At 41.9% G+C, this 19322-nt stretch overlaps 1 long non-coding RNA gene across 2 annotated transcripts in view, besides 3 other annotated features; it reads left to right on the top strand.

The window, feature by feature from the left end:
• Window positions 1-19322, top strand: part of LINC03082 (long intergenic non-protein coding RNA 3082) — a 145761-nt gene that overhangs the window by 103613 nt on the left and 22826 nt on the right. The window contains exons 5-6 of one of the 2 annotated variants that reach the window (NR_187460.1): window positions 13871-13945; window positions 16384-17531. The exons of the other annotated variant lie outside the window; for it this stretch is intronic. This is a non-coding gene — a long non-coding RNA (long intergenic non-protein coding RNA 3082). Of the gene's footprint in view, window positions 1-13870; window positions 13946-16383; window positions 17532-19322 lie in introns of those variants that run through there. 2 annotated transcript variants of the gene reach the window in all.
• Window positions 1260-1429: an enhancer, noted in NCBI's record as "experimental_32415 CRE fragment used in MPRA reporter constructs". NCBI's record gives its function as "activates a minimal promoter by MPRAs in K562 erythroleukemia cells, with activity observed for both the introgressed and non-introgressed 13:110676527 variant alleles {active_cell/tissue: K562}" and the evidence as "EXISTENCE:reporter gene assay evidence [ECO:0000049][PMID:34662402]".
• Window positions 7161-8360: an enhancer, noted in NCBI's record as "CDK7 strongly-dependent group 2 enhancer chr13:110669511-110670710 (GRCh37/hg19 assembly coordinates)". NCBI's record gives its function as "activates an origin of replication core promoter dependent on BRD2, BRD4, P300/CBP, MED14 and CDK7 cofactors, with strong dependence on CDK7, by STARR-seq in HCT116 cells {active_cell/tissue: HCT116}" and the evidence as "EXISTENCE:reporter gene assay evidence [ECO:0000049][PMID:35650434]".
• Window positions 12667-13866: an enhancer, noted in NCBI's record as "CDK7 strongly-dependent group 2 enhancer chr13:110664005-110665204 (GRCh37/hg19 assembly coordinates)". NCBI's record gives its function as "activates an origin of replication core promoter dependent on BRD2, BRD4, P300/CBP, MED14 and CDK7 cofactors, with strong dependence on CDK7, by STARR-seq in HCT116 cells {active_cell/tissue: HCT116}" and the evidence as "EXISTENCE:reporter gene assay evidence [ECO:0000049][PMID:35650434]".

The raw sequence follows: 19322 nt of genomic DNA, 5'->3' as shown, positions 1-19322 counted from the left end.
GAAAGATATTCTCACTGGACATCAAATTCTGGGTTGACACTTTTCTTCTTCCAGTGCCTTCCATCGTGAGCCCTGGTCCAGCCTCTGCCATCAGTCATAGCACTGTCTCCTTGAGCGAATGTATCTCTTCTCTCAGGCTGATTTTAAGATTGTCATTTTATTTGCAGCATGATCACCATTATGTTCCCAAGTGCGATTTTTAAATTTTATATTGTTTGGGTTTAATGAGTTTCTTCGATCTGTAGGTTGGCTTTTTACCAAAATTTAAAAAATTTTGGCTGCTATTAAAAAAATTCTGTTCTGTTTCCTCTTTTTTTCTTTTCAGACTCAAATTTCATGTATGTTAGGCTGTATGATATTGTTCGAGTAGCCACAAAGACTCTGTTTGTTTAAAATACATACATTTTACTTTTTTCCAGCATGGATAATTTCCATTTTTTTTTTCAAGATTACTTATCTTGTTTCTGTAGTATCTGGTCTGTTGATTGGCCCATCGGTGAATTTTTCAGTTCCAATATTGCACTTTCAGTTCTAGAATTTGCACTTGGTTCTTATTTTATTGTTTCCATTTCCTTGGTGAGATTCTTCAATTGTTCACTTATGATAACCATATTTTCCTGTAAATTTTTGAACATACTTATAATAGTTGTTTTGAAGTCTTGTCTTCCTAAATTCAGCATCCGAATCATCTCAGGGCTCTCTTTGTAGAGAATGCTTTTTTGCTTGATCATAAGTCAGAGTCTACTGTTTCTTTCCATGTCTAGAAACTTTGGATTGGATGACAGAAATTGTGGCTGATACACTGAGAAGTCTGGACAGTTCTTCACTTACTCTATTTTCACTGATATCTCATCCTATCCTCTGCAGAAGCTGTAATTGTTCCAGTTTATGGATAAGCAAACTGAGCCTCATGTTTGCTAAAGGAACTGCCCCACATTACACAGTTAACATGTGGTCACGCTGCCACTCAAAGCAAGACTTCCTGCTGTTATCTTGTTGCTAGATTTGTCCAGTTGGAAGTGCTTTGGCCAGGCCATCCCTGTGCCCACGCCACTAAAATTTATCCTGTGGGCCAAGATTCTGCTTCCTCTGAGAGGGGACGGAGGCCCGTGTGGGACCTCTGCTGTTCCGCGGGTGGGGGGCAGGACACAGAGCTTTTTTCCCACTGTTTCTGAAAACAACTGGGAGCACAATTAGCCCTGTTAGCCCTCACTGCACTGCCGTACGTGGCTGCCAGCTCTCCAGGGCCGTGCAGTAATCCCCAGGGCCTTCTGCAGGGGCAGCGATTAGCAGAGGTGTTTACATCTCTGAAATGTACCAGGCTATAAATAGAAGCTATTTTCTCAGCATCTTGTGACACTGGATTTGTTCTTTTCTTTTTCATTTTCTTCCCCATTTGTCAGCTTTAATAAAGAAAAAAAGGAGCAAAGGGGCAAAAAAAAAAAAAAAAAAAAAAAAAAAAACTCACCCACCAATTTCAGATTGACAGAAGGAGCATTCACTTAGCTTCTCAGAAAATCTGTGGCAGAGTTCCTGGCCTGCAAAAATGGAAACAAACTCCAAGCAAAACACACTGTTCTTCTGAGGAACAGAATGAAACTCAACAATGCCAGGAAGCAGCCCCCTGCCTCAGTGATCTCAGCGACGGGTGCCCCTGAGAGCTCGGAGCTGTTTCTGACAGATTCTGGAAATGACACTCAGGCACCTTCCTGGCTTCGGAGATCTCAGACCTGTTTCCCAGAGTCTTAGAGTCTTGGTTCTAGATTCTGTTTTTGCACAGACCTGGGATCCAGGAACTGAAAACATTGTGGGGCTATGCCTTGTCCTTTCTCACTCAGTTTCCCTGGGTAGGGCACTAAGGCTGTTCTATGACGATATAATGCACAGGGGTGGATGCAATAATTCCATGGTGGGGAGGGGCAATGCCTCAGGGATCCTGGTGCATGGGGCATCTCCACCACACAGGGCAGCCCGCCTCAGGACTGATGACTGCTTACCTGCATCTTCTACACTGGTGGTCAGACATTGGAATAAGAGCTTTTCATGCAGTATCTCATTTTTCCTGACAACAAGCCTATGAAGGAAGAACTTAACCATTTCATACATGAAGAAATTGAGGTGACCAGGATTATGTAACTCACCTCAGGTCGTGCACCAGTCATGGCAGGGACAGGCTTCACACAGAATTTGCAGCCTTGGCTTAGCTCCCAAACAACATTGCCTTCCCTTTCTAGTCCCCAGGGTTGACATTCTCTAAAGGACACTGGAAAGAGCCAGGAATAAGAAAGCTGATGGTGAGATCTCTAGAGAAGGCAAAGAGTCCTGATCCTCAGCAGTTTCCAAAGCATAGGACACAATGAAAGCTTCATGACTTTGAAAAGAACAGAGGGCTGAGGATCCAGAAAGGAGACATGAGTACTGGTGAAAAGTCCTCTGTGGATGCATCTGAATGTCCTTCTCATTGAACCTGTCACTCTCCCCACTCAACAGCTGGAGGGCCACTGATGTGTTGGAGAAAAGAATAAATAAAAGAGAGAAGCTACAGGTTTGGGTTCCAAAGTTGCCCATGCTGGTTATGGTTGGGAGCCATCTTCCTCTAGGTTGTGCAGTTGAACACGGGGATGCCCTGGCAACAAGGAGAGGGGCATCTCTTAGCTCCTCTTGGTTGCCACGGAGTTGCTTCTTGCTCAAGCCCACATGACCAAGGACAGAGTCACTGTCCCCCACCAAGCAGGAGGCTTCACTTCTTGAGCATCAAACACAGGCATGGGGTGGATTTCTCCTAGGGATTCCTGAGGCCATTGTTTTTGGGGCTCCTCCCATCCCCGCATCTATTTGCACTAACATGCTCTGCAGAACGGCTCATCAGAGGGCCTCTCCCCTTCCAGGCTGCTGGCATTAGAGGAATGCACCTCAAGCTCTCCAGAAACTTTTACCTCCACTCCTTTCCTCCATCCTCAATGACTGTGGCCAAGACCACTTGGATCCCACTTTGTTCAAGCAACACATCCTCCCAGGACCCACGAAGAGTGAAGGTTCTCTTGGTTACTTCCCAACTGACCTAGAAATGAAAAGTCATTATTGAAACTCCTCCAACCAGGGAGCCCACACTCAGAACACAAAGGATTCTTGGGCCAGGGGAGAGAAAAACACCTTAAAGTTATACCTGTAACAGGGAAACACAAATGTAAATTAATTTCTCAATCAATTCCCTGCTACAAATGTTTACAAAACATCCCAGTAGTCCATCAACCCAGAAGAACATATCAGATTGATATATAGTCCTGTAACACTACTTAGCTCCAATTATACAGTGGCTCCTCAACTTGCAGTAGAATTACATCCTGATAAACCCATCATAAGCTGAAAATACTGCATCAATAATGCATTGAACACACCTAGCCTACTGAATATTGCAGCTTAGCCTAACCTAACTTAGACATGCCTAGACACTTCCATTAGCCTACAGTTGGGCAAAATCATCTAACACAAAATCCATTTTATAATAACATGTTGGATAGATCATATGATTTATTGAATACTGTATCAAAAGTGAAACATAGTGTAGCTGTCTGGGCACTGGAAATGTGGTTTCTAGTGACTGCCTGTCACTGTGGCACCATAGTACAATTAAGAAAACATCAAGCCATCATAAGTTGGGGACCGTCTGTCAATATTTCTGTGTTTCTGGGGCTTTGGCCATGGCCAGGCCCTCTTTTCTCTTTGCTCAGGCCACACAAGGTCTCCTGGCCACAGTCTCACCTCCCTAAATCTATCCTCCATCCTGTGGCCATGGGTGTTTTAAATAATGCAAATATCATCTCCTTACTTCCACTTAGAACATCCCAGGGCTCTTCCTTGCCCGCAGGTTAGGTCCAGGCACCCTTCCCTCTGGTCTCTGCAGAGTCCCATCTCTGTGATCAGCACTGGTGCTCTAGATACACCCACTGCTCCCCATTCCCTTCTCATAACTCTGTCTTTACAAAAGCACCTCGTTTGTCTCCCCTTTACATTCAATGGGTGACCCCCACTCATCCTTAAAAACCGGGCTGGCCATCATCTCCTCCAAGAAGCATTTCCTAAGTTCCCCTGAGTGATTCTGCTGTTTCCTCATGTGTGATGAGGCTGGGACTTGGCCTTATTCTTACGGCATTTATTTCAGGACAGTAAAATAACGTGTACATCTCACTGCTTCTATTACAGTGCACTCTGGAGGGCAGACATCGTTTATTCATTCATATTTATTTCCTGGTACCATGCACCAGTCTGGAAACATCCAGACTCTCAAGGAATTGTGTGTTAAGTGGATTGCAGCTCCTTGAGTAGGAGCGCTGGGGGTGTGGGGGGGACCCTCTGCACAGAACTGCATGAGCAGAAAGAACAAGAGGAAAGGAATCTGCCCCTCTCATCCTACAACTTCTTTGTAAAGAAAATTGCGCTTTAATTTTTCAACAAATAAAGTCACCAGGAAAGGACATGTTTTTCCCATCTCTGCCTGGGTTCTCGTGGGAGAGTAAAGTGGCAGTGAGAAAAGAAAACTGTCCTGGGAAAGCAGAAGGAATATGAATCGCCAGACATCGGCGTCAGGGTGTGTGTCAGCTCCACAGCTGTCAGCTGAGGAGACATCCCCCACTCAGGACATGTTCCCCAGGAAGTAGTCAATGCTGTCGCCAGTAGCATCACCTGGATCATTGGTTAATGGGTCTGAGTCGCTTGATCATTCCATGGCTATCACACTTATTTAATTTTCTAAAGACAGAAATGAAAATACGTTTCAAGAAGAATACCAAAATAAAGTGCTCAGAGAACAAGCTGTCTGTCCACTGTGTTCAAAGCATTCTAGAAAACTGTAAGGGAGGAGAAAGGCATAGCATCTAGGATTGTGTTAAGACCAATGCCACCGCTGAGGGATGTTTACTGCATGTCTTCTTTTCATAAGGTAGTGTAAGGGGAAACACATCTGTCCTTGCCTTCCAAGAGCATATAATCCAGTTACAGATAAGATAGGTGGAAGACCACAAAGGTCTGTGTTGCAAGGTACACAGGGACCTTGTTGCAGGGAGATGTCTTTGGAACACTAAAGGGACCCTTGTACATGGTTGGTGGGGACATATATTAATACAACCACTTTGGAGAACAATATGGAGACACCTCAAAAAACTAAAAACAGAGCTACCCTTAGATCCAGCAATCTCACTGCTGGGGTATATACCCAAAAGAAAGGAAATCAGCATATGGAAGAGAGATCTGCACTTCCTTGTTTATTGCAGCACTATTCGCAATAACGAAGACTTGGAAGCAACTTTAGTGTCCACCAGCAGACAAATGGATAAAGAAAATGTGGTACATATACACAATGGAGAACTATTTAGCCATAAAAAAGAACAAGAGCCTGTCATTGGTGACAACATGGGAAGGAAATAGAAGACATCATGTTAAGTGAAATAAACCAGGCACAGAAAGACACACATCACATGTTCTCACTCATTTGTAAAAGCTAGACATTAGAACAATTGAACTCATAGAGATGGAGGGTACAGGGATGGCTACCAGAGGCTGGGAGGGTGGTTGTAGGGAGGGTGAGTGGAGAGTAGAGATGGTTAATGAGCACAAAAATAGAGTTAGAATGAATGAGATCTAGCGTCTGAAAGCATAGCAAGGTGACTACAGTCAATGATAATTTATTGTACATTTTGAAATAACTAAAAGAGCCTAACTGGAATGTTGGTAACACAAAGAAATGATAAATGCATGAGGGGATGGATACCTCATATACCTGGATGTGATTATTACCATTGAATGCCTGTATCCAAACATCCCATGTACCCCATAAATGTATACCCTTACTATGCACCCATAAAAATAAAAAATGAAAATAAAGGACAGTAAAGGGAGAAGAGGTTGCTTCTTTATTATTATTATTTTTTTCTGAGATGGAGTTTTGCTCTTGTTGCCCACACTGGAGTGCAATGGCATGATCTCCACTCACTGCAACCTCCACCTCACAGGTTCAAGCGATTCTCCTGCTTCAGCCTCCCAATTAGCTGGGATTACAGGCATGCACCACCACACCCGGCTAATTTTGTATTTTTAGTAGAGACGAGGTTTCACTATGTTGGTCAGGCTGGTCTTGAACTCCTGACCCACCCACCTTGGCCTCCCAAAGTGCTGGGATTACAGGCGTGAGCCACCATGCCCTGCGGAGGTTGCTTCTTGTGAAGCGTTCGGAGCAAAGTTTTGGGTGAGTGCTTGGGGACAGGGGAGATCAGGGTGCACAGGAGAGCCGGGCAGCATCCCAGATCCGAGGAAAGTGATGTGGGGAAGATGGTGGGATGAATGTACTCATGTGACTGGGGCAACAGAGTGGGATATAAATTGTGAGCAAATGGAAGATGACCCGCAATGACGGCTTAAACTCTATCCTGTTCCAACATCTACTGCAGGTGACACACTCAAGGTCAGATTTTTAAAAGAAGTGGTATCAACCAACAGGACATTTTGGGATTGAGGACATTTTGGGAACAGAGTTAGAATAATGGTGTCAGCCTCATGTCATTTGAGAAGCAAGGATGATACAATGGAAAGAGCCCTGGACAAGCAGTCGACAAACTTTCCTTCCTGAAAAGTGTTTCTAGTGACAACTCCTCTCCCCTCCTGCAGTGAGCCTGTGGACAAGCCCCTTCCACTCCCCTAGGCTTGGGTTTCCTAATCTATAACATTAGAGTATTGAGCTAAGCCCTTAGCCATCCCCACGGGCCCTTCAAATCTTAAAGTCGGGATTTTTGTGATTCCAGAGGTAGAAGCTGAGAACAAGGATGAAGGAAGAATCAATGATGATTGGGAGATACTGAGCCTGAGTGAAGGAGGAGATGGAAATTATCACTGGCAGGAGCCGGGAGTGATGTGAGGGGTTGATGAGTGAAGATTCTAAGACAGTGCAGTTGAGGAAACCAAATAAGGATTCCAGAAGGACAGGCATTAGGCTGGCTTCCCTTCTGAAGGCTTCTCAGAGGCGGGTCCTTAGCTGCATTGGAAGGAGGAGGAGGAGGGCTTGTTGGATCAATGAAGAATGAAGCGCTCCAGGTGGCCCTCCCTCTCTGCATTAGGACTTGGTGCGGTGTTCTGCTTGTAAGTTCTCTGAGGGCTGTCTCCAATAAGGATGGTGAGGTACTGCAGAAATAGAACTGGACAGTGGGGCAGAGGCTGCTGCTGAGGCTGAGGATGGAGCGTGCTTAGTGATTCGTACATGAGAGGGCAAGAGCCTGGCCAGGAAGTGGGGGAGAGAGACACCGACCCAAGACACACAGGCTCCTGGCATCTGGGTAAGACACTGAATGCTCACAGCCGGGCTTGCTCCGGCCGTGGTTCCATGCTGGGCACAGAGCGGGTGGGTGATCATTATGCTGATGGTGTTGAAGGTCTGTTGTACACTACCGCATGACTGGTGCTGCCCAGCAGCCTCCATGCACAACGCACCTCAGAACGGACTTGGGTTTCTCCTGTTTAGGATTCTTGCCTAATCACCATTCCTTTGCACTATTGAAAAAAGCCAGAGAGACAAAGTAATTGGACCATCTCAGTCGTGTTCAGTTATGTGATGGACATTTTGTCTTCCTCTGCACAACACAAATGGCCCTCCATTCTTCCCCTAACATTTACTGCAAAGCCGCCTTGGCGATACCGATGCCGAGGTCTTGGGGAATGACCACTCAACTCATCTTCTAAGGATCTCAAAGCACATTTACTGACACTTTCTAATTAAGCTGCCCCGAACCTGAGATGGGAATGGGGAAAACTGCATAGTTGTTTCAGTTTTTCTGTAGGAAAAAAGGTACCAGTCATGGACTAGATGAGGCAAACACATAGGAATGTGAGGAGGCGGACGCACTGGGAACCTCAGGAATGAGAGGAAAGAGGTGTGGTCATCCTGCTTCTGGTATCTGAATCCTGGGAGAAACATCCTCACTTCCCTGAAGAAGGGCCCCAAGCAGCACGGGAGGCATCAAGAGCCTTCCCTCTGGAGCGCACGTGCAGCACCAGCTGGGAGAGCTCCCCTGGCTTAGGACGCTTCCCCAGCCTTGGCTCACCTGCTCTCAGAGCTCTCACCTGATGCTTTCACTCAAGACAAATGTCTCCAGAAGCTGCAAGCATCAATTCAAACCCAGCAATTGTCTTCATGATTTCTTCTAACAATTCTTCAACTTAAAAGAAGCAGCAAATAGAATATATAAATGACAAATTCACAGAAGGAAAATATAAGCCAACAAAACACTTGAAACCAAACCCTCCTTGAAATTATCAGTAAGCAAAGAAAGGGGAATGAAAACAGCAATGCAGTGTATTCGTCCCTGTGGAGTTGGGTTGGGGTGGGTAATACTCAACAGTGGTTGTGGCTAACTGGTACTCTTGCACACAGCCGGTCAGAGCTAATATTTATACAAACTTTCTGGGAAGCAAATTAATAATCACAATATAAAGTCTTTAAAATATGTATACCCTGAGACCCACACTTTCATTTCTAAGATCTTATACTGAGGTAACTCTGTTAGATAGTATTATGTTGTAGCTAGGCGTGGTGGTAAATGCCTCTAGTCCCAGCTACTCAAGAGGCTGAGGCAAGAGGATTGCTTGAGCCCAGGAGGTCAAGGCTGCAGTGATCTGTGATCACACCACTGCACTGCAGCCTGGGCAACAGAATAAGACCCTGCCTCTTTAAAAAAAAAAAAAACAGAAAAGATAGTATGATGTTCTGTGTTGAATAACAGAAACTGAAAAACGGCTTCCATCAAATAGAGGTTTATTTATCAATTTTTGTGAGTACACAGTAGGTGTATACATTTATGGGGTATGTGAGATATTTTGGTACAGTCACGCAGTGTGCAGTCATCATATCATGGAGAACTGGGTATATGTCCTCTCAATCATTATCCTTTGTGTTACAAACAATCCAATTATACTCTTTTAGTTATTTGAAAATATACAATTAAATTATTATTGACTATATCCCCTTGTTTTTTGCTCATATGACATGAGACTTAGAAGGAAGTAGTCCAGGGCTAGGATAATGGCCCTGTCATGGTGTCGGGATCCAGTCTCCTTCCCACTTCCTGCCACACCCTCCTTAACCCATGGTTTTCAGGTCTTGGTCCTAAGATGGCTGCCTGCCTGTGCTCATTGTATCCATGTCCCAGGCGAGACAAAAGGAATGGTCAACACAAACATGCAAGAGCACAGGAACAGGCCAGCCACATCTGCTGCTCTCCAAAGGGCCATCCCAGAAGTACCACTCAGTATTTTCTCCTTACACTGTATTGACCAGACTTCGTGATATAGGAGTTGAAATAATTTAGCCAGGGATATTTCCACACTGACCAAAATCAGAGTCATATTAACAAGGAAGAAAAGAAAAATAGATGTAAAGTAGGTAATTTATGTTATCTTTGACAACAGTTATTAAAGATTGCATGCAAATTTTATATACATTATATGATGTATATAACATATAATACAGAGCTATGTATTTATGCGTGTGTGTAGATAGATAAAATGGCAAAATAACTGGAAGACTCCAAAATTAGACGTTTGGTTCAGAGACATTATTTAACCATATAGTATAATTCATGCAATGGAATACTATGTAATCGATAAACATCAGGCCAGAGAAGGTTATTTCAAACTTGGCAAAAGATTATAATGTATTGCTAAGTGAGAAGTAGGCGCCATACGGCATGCATGGCAAAACACCAGTCAGGGAGGAAAAATTGACATATGTAAAGGACCACAGAAAAGTAGCCAGAAAGAAACATACCAAAATGTTAATGGTGATTATAACAGTGGGGAGTGGAATTATGAGTATCAGATGATTTTAAAAATATCTTTGTGTTTTTATTAGTTTTCCAAGGTTTCTGCATTGAACAGATACTGCTTTTGTAATCTAAAAATAAAAAGCAATAAAAAATAAAGGGGCAAGTTTAATTTTTCCTAATGGAGTCCCAAGGAAATGAGTTGTTTCATGGAATTGGGCCAAAGCAACAGTAAGTTGGTTCTGGATTTGGGTGGTTGATATTCAAGAAGTTCAGGGTTTATTTGTGGTAAGCAATCGCATGGCCTCCTGCCAGACGTTCTCGGCCTTACATGTTAGCTCTAGGACAGGTAAACAGATGATAGTTAATGTACTCGGGTTTGTTTCTCACGTCATTTTAATTTCCTATTTCATCGAATGTTTAACATTATTAATTTTTTAAACCACTTGTTGAAGATTAAAAAAAACCAGAATGCTACTGTGCATTGAGCTTACATTTCATTGTTCCCTTGAAATGATGGTTTTATTTTTAACTTTTCATTTCAAATGTTTTCCTTTGCAACTGTAATTGAAACAGCAAAAAACAAAAAAAAAAAATGTTGCATTTCCTGGGGGAAAACAGTCTTCCGAAAATGAGCAGGCTCTTTATGACTGTGCAAACAATACAAGCACAGAGTGTACTGTAAGGGGGATCTATATTTGTGTTATGTACACATCTATATTTATATGATGCACATCCTAATAAGGGCACCCTGCAGCTCTGGGACCAGCTGGAGCCCTTCTGTTTGAAATCATTTAAAGTGCCACTGACGTCAAGTTGAAAGATACCACTGCACCCAGGTTCTAACAGGTGTTGCTAAGTCTGCATTTACTCATGGTTACACACAGCTCTCCACAGCATGCAATAGCACCCACAACCAAAACCCGAGGTCCTCGCTGTCTGTCCTGAGTGCCTGGGAGCAACACACCCCAATAAATTACACATAGGTTGAAAACTTATGCTAAGGGAACCCAATTTCTCTACCTAATGTTTTCAAGGTGAAATATTCATCTGTTTTATAGACTAGGAAGTGAAGTAAAAGGGTGAAGCCCTTTCTAGTAAGTTACCTGTAAACCATGTATTATCCTGGAAAAGTCTTCACCCTTTTACTGAGTCTCCAGGGCCTAGTTTCTCATCTGTGAAATGAGGGATAGGACTCCTGTCTTGTTGGATTGCCACGTGGCAAGGCAGGGTGCCTATATGTAAATCACTTCAGCCTCAATACATGGTGACTGCCCAATAAATGACCATTGTGATAGTTATTAGTAGTTATGGTCTATTTTTGTCATCACATAGTATAATTCTTTGGAATGACCATTATCTGCTTTATCGGCTTATGTTTTTGAGGAACTTGGATCACCAAAAACCTAAAAATACTGCAGCTTCCACTAAACAGCCCAACAAATCAATAAACCAGTTCATCTAAGAATGTCAAGGAAAGTCAGGAAGAACCACAACTCTCTCTCTATATATATGTGTGTGTGTATATATGTAACTATATATATCTGTGCGTGTGTATATATATAGTTATATTATATATATATAGTTATGTAACTATATATATATAATATAACTATATATATACACACGCACACATATATATATATATATGTGTAGGTTTGTAGCTATGTGACAATTTCCGAGATGCTGGAACAGCCACCTCTCATTATTTACCCTTCTAAGGACCCCTCCTTATTGATCCTTAACTTCATTTACCTTCTTAGTTTTTCTAATTCCCTCTCAGCTGTACTTACCAGGAGGGTTCACACATTTATTTGGTGACAACTAAGCCTAAATGAGTTTATGAGGTCATTTTATATGGTCCTTTTGACAATATGAGAAGATGAGATTGAGAGAAAATGATAAAAGGGAATTCTAACACACTGACACGGAGAAAGGTGTGGTGGAATAGAAGAGGGTGGTTAATCTTAAATCACCATTCTGCTTAAGGAAGATCCAAGTCTAGTGTGTTCTTGGTAACTTTTGGAATAAAAGTGTATTAAAACATTCTACAAAATTACCTTGATAACAATAAGTATAAGTTATAATATAGTTATTAGAACAGTTTACACAGCACTTTTACATTTATCATCTTCCTAACTTAGGTCAAATAATCAATCATTCATTCATCTAGTAATGCAAAAAAAATGGTATGTTGTTTTCTGGGATCTGATTTTTTAATACCGTGAACCAGGTCCCTATTTCAGTGTGTAGCATGATTACAGGTTAGATCTGCCCACCTCAGACCATTGTCTCGCAGATGTGTGCTTATCCCAGTGAGATCTTTGAATATTTATCACGATTACTCTGGGGGAATGAAAGTCCATCCTGTGGGCAATGGAGGATCTTTGGGTATGAGTGAGAGCTGCCCTTTAATTTTTTCTCAAACCTTCTAGATTCGTATGTTTCTTGTAAAGATAAACGACATCATAGATGGGACCACCTGCTTATTTTTATCTTCTTTAATTCTTTGTGAGATTATGGCACTGGCTGAATGACAAGAGTGTGCTACTGCCACAAAGCTGCAGACTGTCCAATGGACTCTAGTCCCTATGAAAACAACATAGATTCAACTTGTTATTCATGTAATCTCTCGAACAGTGAACACTACTAAGCCCAGGCCTCAAATGAGCCACACATTGGTGCTCTCTGGGGGCTCTACCCAGAAGGGCTGGTTATTGCTGCATCAGAGATGGGGAAAGGTGGTACTCCTGCAGGCACTATTCAAGTGTAAGTGATCTGCATCTTCAGTTCTCCTCAACATCGAAGTCAAAAGAAGCAATGCTGTTACTCGAATACAATGATCAAAATCAGGATTAGACTTTGTTTTAATTCAAAAGAAAGAGCAAGTGGTATTACTTGATGTCCAGCCTTACAAAAAGCAATGTATGGGAAAGAAAAACCTAAAGAAGACCCTTGGGGAAAAGGAAAACAAGTTCTGTCTAGGGGAAGGAAAGTAGTGATGAGATTGAGTTTCTTTTCTTTGAAAATTCCCTGCTTTACAGGGATGGTATGTTTTATGTTAAAAATTAAGCTACATTTAATCCCTTAACAATGTGTCCCTGAGACATTATTATGGGCTTGTATTTGTCATGGATTCTATTGAAATATGTTCATTATTTTTTCCAGAAATGTGAAATAGAAAAAGGGGCTTTCATGGGCTCTAAACACCAGAATTCGTTATCTGTATTTAGAGCGAGGACAGATTTGTCAGAGGTTTCAGGCAGTGACTAAGAACTCAGGAGTAGGAGGGAAGAATAAGTACTGACAACTTGTTCTTGACCTGCCCAGTTATTTCAACCACAGGAAGGATATTTAAGATTCTTTGCATTATCATTATTTAGTGACTCATACTGTGGGTTAATAATTCCCTTTTTCCTACTTCTCTTGCTCCTCATAGGCCAGCATAGATCAGGGGCTCAGGGACCTGCCAGCTCAGATGTCATTTCATCCTCAGTGGTGGTCACAACCTCCAAATGTGCTTCCTGAATATGCTTGAGAAGAATGTTGTCTGTTGATGGAGCTGCTGGCTGAGAGATCTGGTTGAGAGATGGTGTTTTAGCCTGAGGTTTCTTGAAGAATTTCAATCCTAGCCCATTTCCGAGGATAACAATGCTGAACCCATTGGCTGTTACCCTTTGAGCAGCGATATTCTTCACCATCTAAACAAATCTGTTGCATATTAAAACTCAGTGCTCATGTTCTCACTTACAACCGGGAGCTAAACGATGAGAACACACGGACACATAGAGGGAAGCAACACACACCGGGACCTATCGAAGAGTGAAGGGGAGGAGAAGGGAGAGGATCAGGAAAAAGAACTAATGGGTACTAGGCTTAATACCTGGGTGATGAAATAATCTGCATAACAGACCCCCATGACACAAGTTTACCTATGTACCAAACCTGCACATGCACCCCTGGACTTAAAAGTTAAAAACCCCTCAGTGCTCCTATGACATTTGATATATTGGGATTCTTCTTCATGGTTTCTTTAATGTTAACCACCTTTTTACTGTCAACGTCAGGGAGTGTCATGGCCTCATATTCCTGAGTTTCCTGTCTTTACTGACCAAGATTGATCAAAAGCACCTTCCTCAAAGGCAAGTACATTCTCTCCAGGTCACTTCTATTCCATATATTTGTTTATGCTGGCATTGTAACATATTAATATTTTTCCCATTATCAAATTTTGTGAGAATATCAGTGGTACATTTTAAAATCTAATAAGCATTATCAGATGCCTTATGAAGATTATCTGCCAAATTATAGCCCTAATAGTAAAAGATTTTTAGCCATATTTTGTTTAATTAGCTTGTGTTGATATTTTATTACTTAGAAACTCCCACCCCCCGAACCCTCAAATGACTTGTTCCTTGAACATAAAGAATAAAATTGGGACAGTCTGTCCTCACAATATTTTCTGGTCCAAAGCAATTCCAGATGAATACATGCTTTTGAATAGAATATACCATTTTGCATCAATTACATTTCCACTGATTTAAGCAAGGATACTGGATAGGAGAAACAGTGCAATAATTTAGACCTTCAAACCCTTAGAAAAACAAATCAGCATCAAGTGTGTAAAATAATGTTCATGTGGGTAGAAAGGGAGGAAGTGCCTTAAAAGACTGGACCAGAGTCTCCTTTCTGGCTGCCCTCTGTGTGTTCCCAGCGAATTGATTTCATAGTGTCTTATGACTGCCTGCTATCTTTGCTAAGCAATCTGGCTGTTGCTGTTGTTTAAAACATTCCCCCCTGATTTTAAAGCCACATGCCTTCCACTTGTCATGCAAGCTGATAAGCACACTTTCTTTTTCACTTATAGACAACCTGCTCTGAGGCTCCTAAAAATGTTTCTGTGAGGATTGTGATTTCTGAATGTGGTAATAGCTTTTACATGATGCCTTATAAACAGGTGCCCTCTACATTAGAAGCGTAGCCAGAGCCCCCACTCTCAGGGCTTGACATCTGCGGGTTTTAGAGCGATAGCTGGGTGAGTGTGTTGCTACTATTCTGATGATGGATGACAGCAATAGATCAAGGTAGATCAACATTCTTAAGGTACAGCAGTAAAAGGGTGAGAGTAAAATGGAAATGCATGAGTGCTTTTCAAAGGCAAGAGATTAATAGCTCTGGGCATGCCAGAAATACCGGGATAACTTTTCCACATCTCTAAATGTAGTTAGCTCTCTTCTAATTAGCTTGTCCTCTGCCAGACCACAGCTGGGGGCAGCTCATACACACTGTGCCTTTAATTCCCACAACTGGAGTGGGTGGCAGTCCCTTCTAGGATATGTGGAGACGAACAGAACTGAATTTTCTGGAAGCATTATTGAATTTACTTCTTAAATGGCTTTCCATCATCTTCTAACTGGTGAGGACCAGTGACTATCATTAGTCAGGCTGCACCAACAAGGAATGGAAAATGGAGGTTACAGGCTCTATGGACGTCGACCTCTGATGGTTGAAATCTCCTTTCAATATTCCTGCTTCCTAAAAAATGTGTGGATCCCCATGTGGCCTTCTGCTAGTAATGAGGTCTACAGATCAAACTCAATTATTTCCTTATGCTATAAGACTGCCAAATTCATCTTAAAATGTCCCGGGATCATACAATGATGTAGTTTCAAGGTTTTAAAATAAAAGAAGAACCTATCAGCTTCCCCTTCAGCAATTAATAAGCTGATGTTAACAGCTCTATCTCTGTACTGACTGGTAAAGCAGTACCGTGTTCAAGATCCCTCTGAATTTATGTCAATCCCACATTTCTAATTATTTTTAGTCTGTTCTTCTTTTTCCATTAAGTGGATATATCCATGTATGGTGACCTATTCAAACAAGGTTTCCAAAATGTTAGAAGAGTAAGGACCTCTCATTGGAATCAATGATATGTTTTCTTGATCTTTAGGACAAATTTTCTCTATGTGGTAGAATTTGAGCTTGCAGCAGTGGCAGAAACTGAATGATGGCTGAGGTCATCCATATGAAGAAGTAGCTTTATCCCCACTTTATTGTAGGCCCCATCCTTGTAAGCTACATCCTAATCCCAGAACTCCTCAGAAGCTGCTCTGGTTCTGGGTTGACATACAGATAATAAAGTGGGGACAAACACAATAACTTAACAATGAGAGAAGCTAGCAGTAGTGACTTGATCTATGGCACTTACGGAGTGTCTGAAATACAAACTCCCACGAGGCCATGAAGAAATTCCCAATTAGACAACAGTGATGGATGGGCTATATTAGACAACTTTTACACCTTCTCAAGATTTCTAGGACCTAACTTCTGTATTTGACGGCTGGGACTAGTGACCTCTTCTGTTATCATGGGCTATGAGTGACTAAGCCCAGTACCACACTTTTCATAGCAAAGATTACCATCAGTTGTTTATGAAGTTCGATACCGACAAACCTGATTGATAATGGGATCTTACTATGGATCATTAGCTGAGTGCACAAAAGATTCTGATACAATGCCTCCTCTCAGAACATAGGAATGAAATGCATTTTAAAAATGCAAAGTATTACCTGTATTTCAGGCATCAAGAGAAAACAGCAAACCAGTCTGAAATTCCACGACCAATGAGCCCTGGAATATGAGTATGCTTTTAAAACAGACTGCTTAGAAGAACAAAATGTTAGAGCATAATGTAACCCTGGTAATTTCTTCATTGGAACTTTCCACCCACTACTTCTGAACGGAAAAAGTACTCTTGAGTCCTGAGTTACCCATTACACACTGACTGTTTCCTTAATAGTAGCTGGTGGATTAGCTTTTGAGTAGGATGTCCTGCGACTTCTCACTATGCCTTCATTATTCCCTTTTTATTCTGTGAAGTGGCATTCCTTGTTAGTTATGAAGTGGAAAATGCAGCTATTGTAACTCAGCATACTTGTTCATAAGAAATAAAACCAAAAGGAAATTAAACAATTTTTTTGGCATCTGTAAAGGCATTTTAAAGATTAGTTAGAATAATCCAATTTTCACTTCCTTTAAATGATACTACATTTAATTTAATGATTTCTGAATTCATTATAAATAGAATCATTTAAATTAATGTGAAAAAAATGGTGTTACCTGTTTTGAATTATTAGAATTCTTCTTTGAAATTTATATCATGTCATTAAAGAATGCCTAGGGACAAAGCTACCTTCGCCCTATTTGGTTCACTCTTTTGAAGAGGCCGTGGTCCTCTGCCGCTGAGCTCTCATAATGCCTGTTGAACAGAATGGGAAGGCCTTGAGAACCACACTGTGTGTGAACTCACTGAGTGTCAAAAGAGGAGATGATGGTGAACTCATAAAGAAGAAACTGGAGAATATACTGTGGACCTTCTTAGGACTCTGTTGTCATTGAGCTCCGGGATAATGATTCTGTCAGATTTATGTCTTATGAAGTTGAATAACTCACTCTGTGCATAATATGAGCCGTGAATCTCCTGCTCATTCCCATTTGATCATCAGATGAAACGACAGTGACAGAAAAGTGGCTGAAGCCATGTTTAAACTTTGCCTGTTCCATTTTTGGTAAGAGGTCAAAAGTCATAACAAAATCAAATATTTTGGATAATTTAAATATTTAGATTTCTGTCATTTATCTACTCTTTTTATTTGAGGACTATAGGCAAGACTACTTATTGCAATACGAATAAAGTGGAGAATCCCATGGAATGTAATCCTGGGAAGAGCAGATTGGCTGTCATGTACTTATTCCTATATCTGGGTATTTTTAAAGCAAACTTCACAGGATCACCTTCAAATCAAGCTCAGACCCTTACTGACTGCAAGTTTAAGCAAACGACTTTACTTCTCTGAACCTTGGTTAATTCATCTGTGCGTAGCCACAATGCCTACCTTGCAGAGTAATAAAAAACACGTGGAACGTTGTAGGTACTCCATAAATTCGACAATATTATACTATGCTGGTCAAAACAAGGTAAACAAACACCCATACAAATGTTTCCTCCAAAAATTTCATGGTCATTTATTTTCTACACTTACTTGCTAGTGTCTCAATTTGCTGATACACTCTACATTCTTCATCACTATTAAATTCAAGAGTAAATTTTAGGAAAAGCACAAGTAAAATGTGCAGTTGCTATGAAAGTTGTAACAGCCACTGACCTAGTGTCGGGCGAGATTCCCATTGCACTCTCTTCCCCTAGTACCTTGTGGAAACCTTCGGGAAGTATTCAATGGGCATTTCATCAGTCTCCAGTTTTTAAATAGTTCTCACTTTATGAGTGTGGCAATCAATTTTGGGTGAACCGTTTGTTTCGTAATTTGATCCTGTTACGCTAGATGCAGTTTGTATGTAACCGGAGCCTTTATGGCTTGATATAATTATTTGCCCATGTATGTTATCTTTTGAAAATTCAAGAGTTGGCCAGGTGCGGTGGCTCATGCCTGTAATCCCAGCACTTTGGGAGGCCGAGGCGGGCGTATCACCTGAGGTTGACAGTTTGAGACCAGCCCAGCCAACATAGAGAAACCCCGTCTCCTCTAAAAATACAAAATTCAAACTTAGCTGGGCATGGTGGCCCACGCCTGTAATCCCAGCTACTTAGGAGGCTGAGGCAGGAGAATTGCTTGAACCCCGGAGGCAGAGGTTGCAGTGAGCCAAGGTCTTGCCATTGCACTCCATCCTGGGCAAAAAGAGCGAAACTCCATCTCAAAAAAAAAAAAGAAAAGAAAAGAAAAGAAAAGAAAATTCAAGAGTCACAATATTTAGGTGTGGCTTAAAAACAGAATCATCCCTTGAATAAGAAGACATTCTAAGAAGAAGAAGGCCTATGACCTGAGGGTTGCAGGCTCTAAGGTCTCATGTGGAGTAGAGACAGCTGAGAGTTATTATTTTGGTTTGAGGTTCATCCAGTCTACATATCCTGTGGGCCCTGAAGACAAGTGAGACTTCACAGGCAGGGTCTTCAGTGGGCTGGGAAGAGCTGGTGCTGCGGTTCCAATGGGACACTGATCCTATCCTGGGAAGTTGGAGTTGAGCAATGGGAGGGAAGGAGGCAGAAACCAGAGATAGGAGGCCAAGGGCAAGGTGGCCCTGGTGTAGAAATGCTCTGGACAGGACGTGAGCTTGTGCTCGAGTGGCCTTTGTACGTGACACAATCAGAGATGTGAAGAAATAGATCTGCTCAAGTGAGGAACCGCATGTCACCCTCTTGGCTAGACCAGAACGTAATGCTTAATACACATTCTTTGTGGCAGAGAGGAGTCTCCTTTTGGTGCTCCCGGCACGGACCTTTTGAGTCATCACAGGTGCTGGAGCACGTCCAGGGTGATTACAATAGACAACATTATGGCTGGGCTTGGCAGTGCTACCCTCATTTAGGATCTGCTGTTTGTTCCATTATAGCATCCAATTTACCTTAGACATTTCAACTCCTTCTAAACGAAAGCTTGGTAGAAGTTTCCTTGTACCCAGAACTTCCTCATGTTTTAAAGAGGCTTGGTGCTGTGGAAACTG

This window comes from Homo sapiens, chromosome 13 (assembly GCF_000001405.40).
Source record: "Homo sapiens chromosome 13, GRCh38.p14 Primary Assembly".
Classification (NCBI taxonomy): domain Eukaryota; kingdom Metazoa; phylum Chordata; class Mammalia; order Primates; family Hominidae; genus Homo; species Homo sapiens.
The sequence above is the reverse complement of the archived record's forward strand: the minus strand, read 5'-3'. Positions and strand labels throughout refer to the sequence as shown.